The sequence below is a fragment of the Homo sapiens genome, chromosome 3 (genome assembly GCF_000001405.40).
Source record: "Homo sapiens chromosome 3, GRCh38.p14 Primary Assembly".
Taxonomy (NCBI): Eukaryota; Metazoa; Chordata; class Mammalia; order Primates; family Hominidae; genus Homo; species Homo sapiens.
Window position 1 is genome coordinate 64931130 of NC_000003.12, and position 17625 is coordinate 64948754.

The window sequence follows — 17625 nt, forward strand, 5'->3', positions numbered from 1 at the left end:
GACTGCAGAATCCTTATATACACACATTACTTTGGGCAGCCACTATCGGTCGACTGCAGCTAACATTGAATGTCATACCTAGTAGCCACTTATGATAATCTCCTCCTGCTCAATACCTTTATCTTTATAGCTACATTGAAAAAATAGTCAACTCTGAATGCTGTGTGATTAATGCTACTCTATAAGGACCATTTGGTAACTCCCAGAAATGGAATCCATCTGAGATGTGATGGTTCAGAGGCTGCAGCCTGCTGCAACCTAACTGCCACTTATAAAAAAAGAGGATGCACTGTGAGGAGCCTGGAGCTCTCTGCCACCAAGCCAGTTGCAAAGCCACCATTTCCAACATCTTGTGGTTGCTGTGATGGTCTGTTGCTTCCCCCAGGAGGAAAACTGCACACTACTCTGTGCCAGCAGTGAGGCCTCAAGTCCTGCCTTTTCTTTGAGGGTTTAGGTTTCATTCTCAGACAGTGTTCTCATAGGCCAAACGACTGGGTTAAGGCTGGGAGTGCCCTTGGATCATGACACAGTACAGATTTAGGAGGGCCGTTACCCTGGCTTCCTAGGCCATAAACCAAGCCCAGTGGGTTCACCTCTTTGTGCCCCCAGTTCCCCAACCATCCCCCCGACACACTCTAGTCCACACATAATGATGCTTTTCTTCTTTCCCTTTCTTGGGAAGAGAATTTAAGAGCTTCATGGACACACCCAAGGCATTGTTAGTGAAAGTTCAAGAGGAGACAGTGACCTGGGTTAGGAATGAGCAGAATCAAAATTAGAGTAGGAGGGAAAAAAGGAAACATTATTCATTAAATCTACTGATTCCTAAGATAATAGGGTTTGTAGGCCTCTTGAATAGGACCCCCAAATTGTATAAAGTCCTCAGCTTCTCCCTGTCATTGTCAAAACCAGCCTAGCACCAGTTTATTAAGGTCAAAACACACCCCGAGAAAAGGGAAATGCTATTCAGAGTGAACAAATAAAGCAAAAATGTAACAAGCTTGGGAAAGTAGACAAAGGGAACAGTAAATTGGAGGGGTACACAGGAGAGGAAAGGAAAACAAGTCAAGGGTCTAGAGCAGAAGGCCAGTGAAGGTACATGGCACATGTGAAGGGCATTAGTGGTATGTACTACTCTGAAGAGCAAGAGTTGCATTTCTAAACACTGACATGTGTAGCAGCTAAGAATTTAGACCCTTAACATCTGGAGGCTGAATTCCAGCTCCCTCCTGTGAGTTTTGTGGCATCAGGCAAGTCACTTAAATTCTCTAACACTCAATTGCTTTATTTATAAAATGGGACAATTAATAGTAACTCTCTCATGGTGCTCTTTTGAGAACTTGTCTAGCACCTAAATAAGGCAACAAAGTATGACGTTGCTATTATATGTCTCCAATACATTGCTAAAAATTTTGTAAGTTACAGAATATGATTAAATGATTCCATTTATGGAAACATTTTCTTTATACATAAATACATACTCACAAAAGAAAAAACAATGTTGTAGGATATAATAAATTCCTCTTCAAAGGTTTTAGCCTATAAATTGTTAAGTACAACGAGTTCTGGGATCCTCTCCAAAGAACCAATGTATCAGTATGTTCAGCTCCCCTGGTCTTTGTTCTTCATTTTAAAGTTTAACTTCCTCATTCTTTATGTCTCCTTGCCCCTAGTTTCAGTAAACAACCCCCTCCTAGCCTCTATCACCTAGCTCCATCCTGAGTCACCCCAGGTCACCTGCTCCATTCTGAGTCACTCCTAATCACCTGCTCTGACCTGAGTCACCTTTAGTTACCTGTTCTGTAACTCCTTCCCACGAAACTACTCACCCTGCCACTCCAGCTCATACCCCTGCTCTGTTTAAAATAGCCAATCAGAATTAGCTTAGACTGTGTGGTCCAACCCTAGCCAATAGGTGAAAGACACAGCAGTAGAGATTAGCTGCGTTAGGATAAGAACCCCTTCCCCTCCCTTGTTCAGTTGTGCTCTCACCATTGCTCAATCCACGAGACCCACCCTTCTATAGAAGTAAAATTGCCTTGCTGAGAAATTAAATTTACGTTCGAGTGCTATTTCTTTTGCGGCACCGAAAATTTATTTCTAACACCATAGAAGCCTAAACTCAAACTATTAACCATAGGGAACAGAAGTGATTTTTTTCTGCCTTTTATCTTTCTGTACTGTGTGGTATTTATCTTTATAATAAGCAGGTATTATTATAATAAGAAAATAAAGATACAACTGTAAAAGGAACAAATCAAATGACTACTGACCCTGAAGCATGGGGCATAATGTGGGGTCTCTAGGAGGACAGGCTGGCCAGGACATCCTTGACAAATAAACAGGTGCTCCCTGCCAAGGCAAGCCTAAAGGACAGAAAGGAAAATAAGACTTCTTGCTAGAAAGAATGAAAAATGAAAATAAAAAGGAGGCAGAAGTGTTTTGTGATACAAAATGGGACAAAATGTACAGGGTATGAGGCATCCACACAACACCCAATATTTTTCATGCCAGGAGTAGATGAGACCCACCTTCCACCATTTTTTTTTTTTTTTTTTTGAGATGGAGTCTCGCTCTATCGCCCAGGCTGGAGTGCAGTGGCGCAATCTCCGCTCACTGCAAGCTCTGCCTCCTGGGTTCATGCCATTCTTCTGCCTCAGTCTCCCAAGTAGCTGGGATTACAGGCGCCCGCCACCATGCCTGGCTAATTTTTTTGTATTTTTAGTAGACACGGGGTTTCACTGTGTTCACCAGGATGGTCTCGATCTCTTGACCTCGTGATCCGCCTGCCTTGGCCTCCCAAAGTGCTGGGAATATAGGCGTGAGCCACTGTGCCCAGCCCCTTCCACCATTTTTAATGGAATAAGGTACTTTGTGTTGGCTTTCACAAAGATCACGTTTATTCCTCTGACCATGGCTGTGTCTGGCCTATACTTTAGGTGACTAAAGGTTGGGAAAACAGAAATTTCTCTTGAAAGAAAATTTAGAGTCTACTTGCCAAGTGAAGAAGAATTTATAGGGCCACCTTTGACTGAAGTGTTCTGAGCATTAGAAAATAATGGTGAAATATATAAAGACAAGCTTGCTGAATGGATTAAAGCTTTTGAACCTATAATTAACCCAAGAAGCTGGTTTTAATTGAATAGAGAGAGAATAGGGAATTTATTGCATTATTCTGGTTATAATGAATATTCATCATATGATTTCTCAACCAACATATGATGAGCAAAAATAACTTTCTTGCCTTTCTATCTTCTGAAGAGGATATTGACAAGATACGAAGCATCTGAAACCACCTCCATTGTATTTCTATTTCTACCTGGGTCAATGAAACTATGAGCTTAGTGTTCTTAGGAAACTCTGGGGCTGGAGGATCCACTTCCTAGGTGGCTTGCTCACATGGCTACAAGATGGTGCTGGTGGAAGCCTCAGTTCCTTTCTACATGGGACTTTCCACAGGGTTGCTCGTCTGTCTTTCAGCATAGTGGCTGGATTTTGGCAAAGCTGGTTATCTAAGAGACTGAGGCAGGAGCTGCAATTCCTTCTTTTATTACCTAGCCCTGAAGTCACGTAATAGCTTCAGAAGTCAGCATAGACCAGACTTAATTCACCGGGAGGGAAATGTACAAAGGAGTAACTAAGAGGAGGTGAAGATTATTGGAGGCCATCTTGAAGGGTGGCTCTCTTAGGCACCAATATATACTGACAGTTTTCAGAGCTTGCATTGGAAGCAGTGTTGGGCAGAGATGGTACTCTTGGTAGAACCTATCAAAGCCTGGATTGTGGGCTGGAAGTTTTGAATAATCACAAGACCAGATACAGCCTTGTCTGGAGGCAAAGGATGGACAATTTGACCTCTAAGGGGTGTCTGGGATCTAGCTTGGATCTACTTACAGGTTATTTCTAAGCTTGGGATCCTTTGCCTCAGAACTAAATGGAACAGCAGTGAATTGATTAATTCGATCAATAAAATTTTTATAGAGGACCTACTATGTGTGAGGCACAGTACTTGGCACTGTAGCTATCCCTGCTTAATAGTAACCATCCCAATATTCAACTGTCCCAGTGAGTAGTTACTGTCCCAATAGTAACTCCCAATGAAGTGACAAAGGAAAGATAAGCTCTTGGACATTGGAGGTGGTGATAAGATGACAATAAGGTTGACAGCTTTATATCATGAGGCTGAAAATGGGGGATATGAATCCAGAATGAAAAGGAAGCGCTTTCTCTTCTATAAATACTTACCTTATTAATGAATTATAAATTTTCCTAAGAAAAATTATAGTATGCCGTGAGGACTAGTCAATGTAAGGGAAGTGATATTAAATTGAGAAGTGATGAGTAGGAGATATTTGAAGAAATGAGAGTGGGGAGGGAGTTGTAGGTAAGAGGGAACAGCATGTGCAAAGACCATGAGGTGGGAATATGATGGGAAACTCCGAATCCTGAACTGCCTGCCCTATACTTTGGGAGTTACTGACAACTGAGATCCACATGGCTCAGTGCTTATTATTAGAAGAAAAGTCTTAGTCATTTGATACCAAATTATTTCTTCTTTCAGTTCTGGATAAAGACAAGTACATTATTTGTTTTCCAGATTCCCAGAACATTAAGGCATAGTTACAGGGCACATCTTAGAAGAAATCTTCTCTTAAATCTGCTAGAATAGGAAAAATATCTGAAATAGAACAGAAAAAGTTTAACAGATAATTTTATTGCTAACAGCTCTGGTTTCTTTCAACGTCCAAAATTAAAGTGAACAGTTCAAGGAATATTGTGAAGTGGGTATTCCTCTCTTATGACCATTAGCATCACAGATGTCATCTTATGCAGGCAAATAAATAATTACAAGGGATAGTCAGCTATTTGTATGAACAGTCAATTCCTTTCCTTTATTATGATTTGAAATAACCTCAGACACAAAAATCATAAATGAACACAAGCAAGATCATACAATGGTCCCTTTAAGATAAACCTGGCAGTGTTTAACTAGAAATTACTGACTGTTCCAAAAATGACATTCTGTGTTCTGCAGTAAGATGGAGAACTTTTGCGTGTGTTTTTTCTTCCCTCCCATTCGGTTATAACAATGAGTCACCACTACCTGCAAAGCTAGACATGTAGATTTGCATCTTGTGCCAGAAAGCCTAGGTACCAGTTAGCCAGGATTTAAAAGGAGAGGGTAAAAAAGTTTAATTTACAGACTTAATTAAACATGAAAGTTTCCAGGGAGGAAAACACATCTCCTAACCACCATCCCCCACTTTTTAAAATATATCTATTGATCTTCATTCCAAAGATGTTACATACATTAGATAACTAATTTTTAGTGATTTGTATAAAGCATCCATTTGCCACAAATCAGAAAAACTGTAATGAGGACTGATACAAACAAAACTCCCAAGTTTTCTCTGACCACAGCACACTTCTAAAGGAAACCCATTTCACCCTATTTCTATAGAGGCTGTCTCTTGTGCCCACCCGTCCTTGGCTTCCAGGAAGCACAGAGAAGGTGAGATAGTGGAAATATGGGCTCAGAGACTCCTACAAAGATGATGATTAGGTACAATGAACAGCAGCCCCAAGTTACCTCCTAAGACAACTCCCCTCCCTGCCCTTTTCCCCCCAAATGAGAGCTTTCCAGCCAAGAAAGCTGACTGTTATTTTCATAATGCTTCAGGCATGCATAGCAAAAGAGCAGCTCTTTCTACCACTCCAGTTTAGGCAAGACCTCATCATCTGGGTTGAAAAGTTTGAGTTTCACATCTTTGTCTTTTTGTGCAACTGAGGAGCCAACCAGAAAAAAAATAAGAGGGTAAACTCATACTATATCTTTCCAGAAATAAAGAAAAAAGTAAATAATGAATATGAGCACACGCTTTTAAAAATATCTCTATGAAGCTAACATAGATGTAGATATAAATGTATTTCAAGATACCCATTGGGTTCCCCAGGCATGGATGGATTGGCTTATAAATTATTCCAAGATCTCTTTAGTGTCTGCATATTCAACCTGAATTATGTTTCAAGTCCTGAATCTCTCTTTTTCTCAGCTTTAATGAAATGTGTCCAAAAGTCATTCCCAGGACTAAGTGAAAAAGGAAAGATAAGCTCCTGGACGTTGGAGTTGGTGATTAGTTGACAATAAGGCTGACAGCTTTATATCATGAGGCTGAAAATTGGAGATTTGAATCCTGAATGAGGAAGAACAACTTTTTCTTCTGTAAGAACCAACAAGTCTCTTTTCTGAGAAAAAGGGAGACATTTTGACTGTGAGTGGGAGTTTTTAGTTCCTCTAAAGGGACATTTCAGGGGCACGTTGTTCAACAGAAAATATTACCTAGATGAGATTGTTCATCTACTAGACCAGAACTGTTTTTAATACTATGTTCTGCACTGTTAATGCTCAATAAATTTTTAGAAGCAATATTCCAACAATGATAAGAAGTCAAGTACATTCATTGTTCCGGTCCCTGCATTCAGTAGTTGCCGCCTTGAACATAGTCATAATGGACAAAGGCAACCAGGCACTTCGTTTTTTAGAGACAGGGCCTCGCTCTGTCACTTAGGCTGGTGTGTGTTTTCTTCCCTTCTCTTCCCATAGTGAAATGGGGTGATCATGGCTGACTTCAGCCTCAACCTTCTGAGTTCAAGCCACCTTTCCACCTCAGCCTGATTAGCAGGAACTACAGGTGCCTGCCACCATGCCCGGCTAATGTTTTTATTTTTTTGTAGAGAGGAAGTCTCACTATGTTACCCAGGCTGGTCTTTAACTCCTGGCCTCAAGCAATCCTTCCACCTTGGCCTTCCAAAGTGCTGGGATTACAGGCTTGACCTACCGCTCTCAACCAAGGCAGGCACCTTTACAGGGATCTTCATGCTTGAGATGCTTATTTATTTTTGTATGCCATCCACAAAAGGACTTCTATGCTCTTTGTATTTTTCTAATGAATTTCTCTAATACCTTAGGAGTCTCAGCACTAATGTCTTTATTTTTACTTTTAACCAAGATTTGTATAATTTCTCAAATTCATTCCCACAAAGAAGACAATGACGTCAAGAAAGACTTTGAGAATCCATCATTCTGTATGTTCAGCCTATCTCCTTTCATCAAGAAAGAATCCCCTTTGAGTTGGGAAATATTGTTTCCTTGACTTCAATCCTTTGGTTTTAATGGGAGTTGCCTATCAGTTTAACACACCCACCTGTTTACATGGGTGAGGATGTGGCCCAACTAGGCCAGTCATCATGCCCCACGTAGGATTGGCCCAAGAGACCCAGACGGGATCAACATAGGCCAATGCGAGTCCTGTCTGAAGTTGACACCAGAGGTACCCCTTTGACTCTGATGATGAATATGGGAAGAAGTGAGCCTGGAAGCTGCCATCAATCCTGCCTCTGGCCATGGGGAAAAGGTGATATCAGGAAATGGAGCCAACACTCAGAAAGAGGTAGAACTGAGAGACGGAGAGAATGGATTTTGAGTCCCATCTCTGGCATTGTTCATTAAGCTCATCCTTGAAATACATGAGCTACCCCAAGACTCTTTCAACTAATCATCCCATTTTATTCTTTTGCTTAAGGTAGTTCAGGTTGGGTTTCTGTCTCTTCCTGATTAATTCAGGTTCTAACTGCATTAAGAAGCACCTTGCACAGTAGTCTGCCTAGAGTAGATACCTAATGTATGTGGGTTAAAGAACAACTGCTTTTATTTCTTAACAGGTGAACTTTAGAAAGCAGAAGAGGGAATTGTAAATTGGATGGCTGTCTGAATTTTACTGTCACCATTAGCACTAATGGAGACACTATTACAGGTCTACCAACATTTCAGGTCATACTCTGTGAAGTGATTAAAGGTATAGACCAATGCTGTCCAGTGGAAATACAACTTGAGCCACATATGTAATTTTAAGACCTCTAGTAACCACATTTTAGAAAGTAAAAAGAAATAATTGAGATTAATTTTAACATTCTGTTTAACCCAGTATATAAAAAAAAATCATTTCATCATTTAATATAAAAATTAATAATGAGATATTTTAAAAAATTTCTTGTCCTGAGTCTTCAAAACCCAGTATGTATTCCATACTGAATCCAGTATATATTCCGTACTGAATCCAGTATATATCACATCTCAATTTGGACTAGCTACAGTTCAAGTTCTCAATAGTCATATGTGGCTAGTGGCTACCATATTGGAAAGTGCAGCCATATTTCCTGATCTTAATCCTGGTTCTACCACTCACTAGTTCTATGAACTTGGGAAACCTATCTGATTTATTTGAGCCTGAGTTTCCTCATCTGTAAAGTGGAGATAATAATAATCATTCCTTCACCATAGGGTAGGTGAGGATATAGAGATGAGTGGGCTGGATGAAGTTGCTGCCCACACTGAGCTATATTCTACGGGGAGCAATGGATAACTTACTGCAGTAAGTATAAACAAATGTCAGATAGTGCTAAGACAACAATATAACAGGTTATTGAGATAGCAAGTAACTATGAAGGGGACTGGGGTAAGAGCTTAGATAGGGCTAACAGGGAGGGCCTCTCTGAAGAGGCAATCAGTTAGATACCCGCAAATTCAACAATGAAATGGAGCCAGCCACATCACAATCCAGGGTACGAGGCCAGGATCTATGTTCCAGGAACTCAATAACTATCTCTAAGAAAGAAAACACAAAAATAAGTATCCCAGGGAAGACTCCTGAATGGCAACTCATATGCCAGCAGCCAGCATCAAGTCATTTTCTAAGTTTTTGTGCCGTGAAGTGCTGGCGACAGCTGTTTAGTGTCCTGCATACTTTTCTCAGGCAGCCCTTGCATCTGTTCCACACCCCTTAAGAGAGAATTAAAGAGAGAAAACAAACTCTGTTGACAGAAGGAGGTGTAGGCCTTTATGGCATTCAAAAAAAAGCAAATTAGAGCAAGGTAATTCCAAGCAACTCTAGTTTTAAAAATAGGTCAGTCCAGGTACCATGGGTAACACTGACAGATCTTTTCCACAAGCATGTGAAGAATACAGGTTTCAGGACAGTCCTGAACTTGTGAGGTCCTGCAGAGGCATACTCTCTGGGCGGTGCACATTTTGCTGTTGCTACTGCCAAGAGCCAAATTTGCCCTGGCTCGGGGCTGGACCCACTGCTCACGGTCTTGTTTTGACTCCTTCTGTCTGTTTCTCTTTGAAAGCAAATTGCCTCCCCTGGCTGTTTATGACATGTTTCAGGCAGCTGGCCTGGCAGTCTCTAGAACGCTTTTGAGTTTGCCATGCAGGTAAGCAAACTCGAAGTTAGCTGCCGTATCACGGCAGCAAGGGGTTCAGAAAAGGGTTTGTGCTAAGCTCTTGCTCAGCTACTTATACATGTCAGCTCCTTTCATTCTCCTCAAAACAACCCCAAGAGAAAGATATATTCCTACCAACATCTTGCAGTAGAGGAAACTGATGCTCAGAAAGGTAGTCATTTCCTCAAAGCCACACATCAATTAAGTGGTATCTCCAAATCCCCTGCTCTGAGCTGAATGGAAACAGTTAAGGCTAGAGAGAGGGGAGATACCTGGGGTGTCATATGACAGTCCATGAAGTTTTTCCGAGGTAACAAATTCAAGCAACTTGAACTTGATTCTCTGTCAAGACTTCACACTCCCAGGTCACCGTGGATAGATTTTCCACATTGTTTCCAAGTTGGCTCCAAAGACACCAGATCATGCGTAGAAAAGACGCACTTCGGGGGCACAGGAAGTGTATCCCGGGGAACAGAATCCAGAGAAAGAGAATGAAGAAGTTGGATCGGCACTGCAAAGCCGGATGCTAAATTCATTAATAGATGCCTTTAGGAGAGTTTTTAGAAGCTCAGGATCATAAGATTGAAGCAAGAATTTGAACAAGAAATAGAAAGCAAAAACAGATCACATTATTCAACCTGACAAGACCATACTTCCACCTGCAGCAGTAATGGTTTTTTACATTGGGTTGCATCACATAGGATCTAAACATGAATCCATGGATGACTTGCCTCCTACCTTTTCTACTCCAGCCCACCTAGCGTACTCTCACTGCTTCCTTGCAAATCATGCTACCTGCCTACTTGCCAGACTCAATGCTTTCTCGTTCCTTACCATCCTGGGTTATCTTTGATCTCCCTGTCACATGTGACAATGCTAGTCACTTTCTCTTCTCAATACTGTACCTCTCTTGCCTTCTGTGACATCATATAGTAGTGCCTTAGTTCTATGTTGCTGTGTAACAAATTACCCTAAAACTTAGCATCCTAAAACAACACGTATTTCCGATCTCTCAGTTTCTGTGGGTCAGGAAGCCAGGTACAGCTTACCTGAATCCTGTTTCAGGGTCTTGCCCAGGCTACAGGGAAGGTGCCAGCTAGAGCCATAGTCCTCTCAACTGGGGCTGGATCCATTTCCTGGCTCAGTCATTGATTGCTGGCAGGATTCAGTTCCTCATAGGTTGTTGGACTGAAACCTTCAGTAGTCTCTGGCTGATCACTGGAGGCTGCCCTCAATTCCTTGCTATGTGGGCCTCTCCATAGAGAGCTTCATCAGACCAAGTAAGTGACAGCAACAGAGAGAATGCCAGAAGGTGGAAGCCACCGTCTTTTTAAACGCAAGTGTGGAAGCGACATCTCATTATTTTTGATGTATTCTGTTCACTAGAAAGAAGTCACTAGATCCAGTCCACCCTCAAAAAGAGTGGAGTATATAAGAGTGTGAATAGCAGGAGGTGGGGACTGTTGGCCCACCACAAGAAACACATGTAATATCTATTGAGCACTATGCCTCATATTTCTCAATGCCAGTAAGTGATGGCCATATTTGACATTACATTCTCCTGCTCTCCTACCTCCCCAACTACCCTTGGGTTAAACCCAAGATGATGGATCAATTATTGTGCCATCAGACATAATAAAACTTAAGTACCCCTCCTCTATCCCATTCCATACATACATTTTTTTCTTCCCCACAAGGCAGCCAGAGTAGTCTTTCTAAAACCCAAATCTGATTATGCCACCTTCTGCTCAAAACCTTGCAATGGGTTCTCAGTGTCCTTTGCTTTGAAGACCCTGCATATGGGACCTACATTTACCTCTCCAATCTCTTCTCTCCGCATCCCCTCTCTCCTGTCATGTTTCAGCCATAGTTACTTTCTTTCAGTTCTTTAAACATGTCATTTTCACTCACCTGTCTGGCCTCTGCCGAATATACCTCTTAACTTCCAGCCTCTGCACTCCAAGAAAAGGGGAGTCCTTTCTCTTACCTAGAACCTCCATGAGGGCAGAGATCATGCCTATTAGTTTATCAATCTGTTCTTAGTACCTAGCATGGTGCACAGTGGTACTCAACCATGGGTAAAAGAACGTACCTTACAGAAGATGCTGGCAGAAGGTCCATAGACAAAGGGGCTATGGGACTTGATGAGTTCAGGATTTGCTTCCCAACATCCGCCTCCTGGACTCTGCCTTCTCCTGGGATGCCCTCCTAAAAGCAGAGAGGTAACATCATACGTTTAAGGCACTGTGTTTTTAGGGTGGCCAAATGCATGAAGAATTTATATCAAGTGCTTTCTTTCATATTGGAGGTTCCTGACATGTGTTTTCAAATGAATGAATGACTTACGAGACCCAAGTACAAAGAACACCTGTCAGTCTTAAAAACAACATCAGCTAGCATTTGTTAAATACTTTTGGTACGTCAAGCGTGGTGCTAGGTGTTTTACATGTAGTAATTTCTCATCTAATGTTTACAACAACACTATGGTTAGGTATCCTTATTCCTATTTCCCAAATGAGGAAAATGACACACAGGAGGGCACAGTGATTTGTCCACAGACATACATATTGTAAGTAAACTGAATTTGGACAAAATGATAATGACTGCAATGGTTTATTAAGCCTTTATTATGTGCCAGGCCTTTTACCAGTACTTGATTTGGGTTATCTTACTTAATCCTTCTAGAAACCTATTAAAATTGGGAACAGAGTTATTCTTGAATTAGAAATGAAGAAACTAAGGTTTAGAGAGTTTAAGAATATTGCCTCTGATGGCACAGCTAGCAAAAGGAAGTGCTGAGATTGATTTTTTTCTCAGAACATACTTTATTATAGTGATATTTTAAAGAAGAATTTAATTTCCAAGTATGAAATATTTCAAGGAGTATGTTAAAACTATAAGCTGACAACAGTGGCCAAGGTTAGCCCTCTCTCTTTCTCCCCAAGAAGAAAAGGCTGGTATAAATATTTAGGAGGCTTGAAATCATGACTTAAAGAAAAAAAATGAAATATCTTAGTGAATTTTTGGTCTAGTCGATAGTGAAATCAAGATTAATTTAAAGCCAACGACTAATATACTACTCACTTGCATTTTATTCAAGAAAAGAAAATATGTCCATCTATAAGAATACAGAAATGTTTTTATTTCCTGTTGTCTTGAAAACAGTTACTAAAATGTAATTCAAGATACTGCTGGGCTTCTCATTTGTATCATGAAGGTGACAGCACAGACAGTAACAATTCATAACATCATGGCTTTCCAGGGTGGGCACGCACCCGCTATGCTCCTTATGCTATTGCCACTGTCCTAACTGAACAGTAGCATATCTCCCTCCCTTACCCAGAGCTGGGATTTGAACCCAGGCCTGTTTGGTGCCCAAGACTATGCTATTATCATTAACGAACCACTTCTCACACGGTCCTTTATTTCACCTACCCAGGCCACTGTACTAACCACAAAGCATAGACAAAATGTGTTTCTCAATTGCCATGATATTGGATTCTTGCTCAAAGAAAGGCCGCAGACTCTCTGGACTCTGAAAATAACCATAGCAGGCTCCTCTGAGTCCTCACAGGGTAACTGAGCAGGAAGGTTTTCCAAGTCTTCATCAGGTCCAGTGGTTTTAAAAGCAGGCCAATATTCAGAATCAGCTGGAAGTTCTCACAAGCTACATATTCCCAGGAGCCGTCACAGACCCGTGGACTCAGAAGCACAATGGCCAGGGCTTAGGAATATGTTTTAACAAGCTCCTCAAGGACTCTGATGGTCAGCCAGATAGAAGCCAACAATTCCTCCGCAAACCCCTGGTCCCAATCACAACTCCACCCCATGAGGCCCCCAAGCCTGCCACATCCCCATTTATATGACCCAAAGGAGAATGCTTCAATGCCAGCTGGTGATTGAGAAGAAGCAGGTTTGGCACCCAAAACAGCAAGAGTGATACATGTCTAATTCTACTGCTGATTTTTTTTCATTATTTAATCAAAACGTATGTTCTTTTCTGGATACCACTATAAACTCCCTTTTTGAACATTAAAGAAAAGATGACAATGATGATATCTATAACTATTTATGGGATATTTACTATATGCTTTATATACATTATTGCTAATTGCAGCAACTCTCCAAGGTACATTTTATTCTCTCCACTTTGCAGTTAGGAAACCGAGGCTCAGAGCGGTTAGTTAACTTGCCTAAACATGTCCCTCCAGCAAATGGCAGGACCAAGATTTGAATCTAGATCGTGATTCAACTCCAGAGCCCACATTTCCTCGACTGTCCACTAGCTGTGTCATCTGGGGCAAGTGACTTTTCAATGCCTTAATTTCTCCATCTGTGCAAAGAAGGAAACAAAAGAACCTCACTCATAGGATCGTCATTTAGATTAAATGAAATAATTCATGTCAGACAATTAGCACAGTAATATTAAATATTATATTAGTTGTTTTTTATACCTGGGCTTCCCAAATATGTCTTGGAAAACACTTGAGCCCTCTAAATAAAAAGGTTGCAAATTATTTCAGCATGTGTGCAAATTCCGACTTACTCTCAGTGACTCTCAATGCTTATTAGCATATTAAAGACCCAGAGAAATTCCACAGTGAAGAATCCAGTTTACCCCAAGCTGGAAGATATAATTTTTTAAACAAATCTCTTTATTTTCGCTTAACATTTTGGTCCTACCCAAGAAGGAAAGGGGCCTTTTACGCCCAATTTGGAATGGAATTACTTTGATAATCTCACCCTTCGCTCGTGCTTGGAAAAGGCCCTACTAGAAGAACATACCATTAAGTACTTGCTTTGATACTGGCTGTTAATCCCATGGCCCAGCTTGACATTGTCTCTTAGCAACGTCCTGTCCTTTTCCCCTTTTCATTCTTGTGCCTCTAACAACACTTCCTCTCCTCTGATTTCTCTTTGGCCTCCGGCTTTCAAGGCCCCTTAAGCCTCCTGTACACAGAGAGAAGCAGGAGCTGAAGGCCCCATGCACATATTTATGTTAATAGCACTGAGGGGAGGAACAGGCTGTTCTGGGGACTGCTTTCCAACTGTCACATAAATCAGTCAGAAAAAAAAGGTTACTACTTTCACAAAGACACTGCCAGCGTGGAGCAGCAGGTCTTGGCAATGCATTGCTCCCCCATTCCCCACCCCCTAAGCTGAGCTTCCGTCATGTCTCCCTCATTCTCGATTCTCCAGGCAGGAGGGGATGAAGGATTTTGTAGACGCAGAGGATTTCCAAGTCAGAGGGGACCTCTGAGATCATCTAGTGCTAAATCAAATGGAAACTTCTAGTAAATATCTCTGCCTGGGTCCTTTCCCCAGAGATTCTGGAGCAGTTATTTGCAGTTATTTGGAAGTGGGGCACAGGAATTTTTTTTTTTAAGCTTTCCAGTTGATTCTAACGTACAGTAAGGACTGGGAAGTACTGACGGACTCATATTCTTGTGGAGAGACTGAGGACCAGAGAATGTGAAACTTCCTTTAGATCACACAGACCGTTAGTGATAGGGTGGAGCCTTCATTCCCAGTGGTGTTTTCTTGCAAAATATTATGCTGCCACTAAGTCCTGGGGTAGAGACGCAGAAAGACCTAGACAGTGGTATTATTAGAGTTTTGCATCCCAATCACTTGGGAAGCTCTTTTAAATATGCCTTCACTTTCCTTATTTCCCTGGACCTACTGAGTCAGAATCTCTCTTTTTAAATACAGACAAGATCTCACTGTGTTGCCCAGGCTGGAGTGCAGTGGCATGCCCATAGCTCACTGCAGCCTCCAACTCCTGAGCTCAAGTAATCTTCCTGTCCCCTCTTCCTGAGTAGCTGGGATTACAGGTGTGTGCCACCAAGGCCTGCTATTTAAAAAAAAAAAAAAATTGTAGAGATAGGGTCTTGCTATGTTGCCCAGGCTGGTCTCAAACCCCTAGCCTCAAGTGATCCTCCCCCTTCAGCCTCTCAAAGTACTGGGATTATAGGCAAGAGCCACTACCCTCGACCTGAATCAGAATCTCTTGAAGGAACCCTAGCATGCAGATTTTGCAGAAATCGTTGGTGTTAAATTTGACACATACTAACCTGATAGAAAGAACCACAGATTTGAATTAGAAAAACCAGCCTCCAAATTTGAAATCCATCAAATGCTAACTGTGGTTTTATGAACAAGTAATATGACTTCTCTAACCTTCAGTTTCTTTATCTGCAAAATGGGACTACACAGCTAACCCTCTTCACCCTTCAATTTTATAATTAAAATGTTATTTCTTCTAAAAAGGCTTGACTGAGCTTTCAGACCAGTCGAGCCACCCACCCTCCCAGGATACATTTTCAGAGAACACCTCATATACTCCTGCTTTGTGACAGTGATCACAATTCATTGATTAAGTAGTATGAGGCTTAATACAGGTTCTTTAATGAATACATATCTAATTATGATTAAAGAGTTGTGCAACGGATTACTTGCTTTCTGTCTCCACTACTAAAGCTCAATAAGATAGGAAGTTGGGCTGTCCTGTTCATTGCAGTATCCACAGCACCTGGTGTGAAGCCGGCACTCCATAAATATTGGTTGAACAAATGGCTGAACAAATGACCAATATATGTAAAGCACCTGGCATGTAGTAAGTATGCAACACATGTTGCCTGTTATAATTATTTTCAGGCCAGGTGCTGTGGCTGATGCCTGTAATCCCAGCCACTCTGGAGGCTAAGGTGGGAGGATCACTTGAGGCCAGAAGTTCAATACCAGCCTTGCCAACAGAGAAAGACTCCATCTCTAGAAAATAAAAAATAATAAAACTAGCCAGGCTTTGGTGGTGCATGCCTGTAGCCCCAACTACTCAGGAGGCTGAGGTGGGAGGATCGCTTAAGCCCAGGAGTTTGAGGATGCAGTGAACTATGATCATGCCAGTGCACTCTAGCCTGGGTAACACAGTGAGACCCTGTCTCTAATTTATTAATTAATCTTCAGAGAGGCCGGGTGTTTTACCCAAAGACACACAACAGAGCTGAAATTTGAACTTAGTCTACAGCACTTGTTTGTAATTCATTGTGTTTTTCTGCCTTAAAGTTTTTATATTAGGGGGCAGGATCTAGGAAGAAATTGCAGGCTCTCTCTGTCTCTGTCAGCTAGAATGAACTTGAGACCTGTCTGGCTCTTGCACACCCTCAGTCTCCACTGATGTAGTCCATGCACACACACACACACACATACATTTGCAGACTAAGATGGTTGTTGGCCTTGTTCTACTCTTGAGAAAATTTTGGTTGATAAACTCCTTGAAGGCAGTCACCATGGTGTTGGCTTCCACTGCAAGATAGAGCCATAGGAGTCCTATGATTTGCTGATGATAAACTTCTGAGCAGTAACACTGTCTGGATCCCAGCACTAGTCAATCATGATGGGGCCAAATATCTGTGATAATCTCTGGATTTCCTCATTGGCCATCATGCTGTCTGTGATTCTCAGGAAATGGGTGACTGGAGGGGCGCAGAAGGGAGGTGGAATTCACATTATTGGCTGCTTAACACACATTGGGGAAGGGAGTTCAGAATAAGACTAGGGGTGAATGTTTCTGGGAATGACTGGATGAGTGCTTGTGTGTCTACACTAGCATGAAAATCAAGAAATATGAAAGTTTTCATTTTAATAGCTTTCATTTAGTTAGCAGTTATTAGGCCCCAGATGCTATTTCTAGTGCTTTACAGACATTATCTCATTTAGTTCTCTGGGCTCCAAGGGATTGAAATCATGGTGATCAGTATCATCAGGGGAGAAAAGTGAGGTGAAGAGTAATATGCCAAATGTTACAAACATCTGTATGAGGCAAGACCGCATTGGAACCAGGTTTAATCAAAGATTTCAGAGCCTTCCTTAGCACATTCAAGTGGTATTTATTGGGCACCTTGTATGTACCATGTTTTGTTTTTTGGTTTTTTTTCCTTATTGCAAGGAATATATTACAAAGACGCATGTTCTTGTGGGACTTAGATTCTGTCAGGAGACAGGCCAAATCTAAGTTCTGTGATCTGTTAGAAAGTGATAGTGCTAGGTCAGGCACAGTGGCTCACGCCTGTAATCCCAGCACTTTGGGAGGCCGAGGCGGGCGGATCACCTGAGGTTGGGAGTTCGAGACCAGCCTGACCAACATGGAGAAACCCCGTCTCTACTAAAAATACAAAATTAGCCAGGCGTAGTGGCACATGCTTGTAATCCCAGCTACTTGGGAGGCTGAGGCAGGATAATTGCTTGAACCCAAGAGGTGGAGGTTGCAGTGAGCCGAGATGGCACCATTGCACTCCAGCCTGGGCAACAAGAGCAAAACTCTGTCTCAAAAAAAAAAAGAAA

At 41.6% G+C, this 17625-nt stretch overlaps 2 long non-coding RNA genes across 6 annotated transcripts in view, besides 1 other annotated feature; one reads left to right on the forward strand and one right to left on the reverse strand.

Annotated features, from left to right (window-relative positions):
• The window catches only part of ADAMTS9-AS2 (ADAMTS9 antisense RNA 2), a 326599-nt gene that overhangs the window by 246260 nt on the left and 62714 nt on the right, over window positions 1-17625 (forward strand). The gene's annotated exons all lie outside the window — the stretch shown is intronic.
• The window catches only part of LOC105377124 (uncharacterized), a 99923-nt gene that overhangs the window by 54804 nt on the left and 27494 nt on the right, over window positions 1-17625 (reverse strand). For 3 of the 5 annotated variants that reach the window (XR_007095948.1, XR_007095946.1, XR_001740437.2), the window contains exon 2: window positions 11375-11490. This is a non-coding gene — a long non-coding RNA (uncharacterized LOC105377124). Of the gene's footprint in view, window positions 1-10662; window positions 11277-11374; window positions 11491-17625 lie in introns of those variants that run through there. The other 2 variants (XR_007095949.1, XR_007095947.1) reach the window with 2 other exon arrangements.
• Window positions 13658-14530: an enhancer, noted in NCBI's record as "OCT4-NANOG-H3K27ac hESC enhancer chr3:64930462-64931334 (GRCh37/hg19 assembly coordinates)". NCBI's record gives its function as "activates a minimal SCP1, AML or CMV promoter by ChIP-STARR-seq in naive and primed H9 embryonic stem cells {active_cell/tissue: H9 hESC(naive and primed)}" and the evidence as "EXISTENCE:reporter gene assay evidence [ECO:0000049][PMID:30033119]".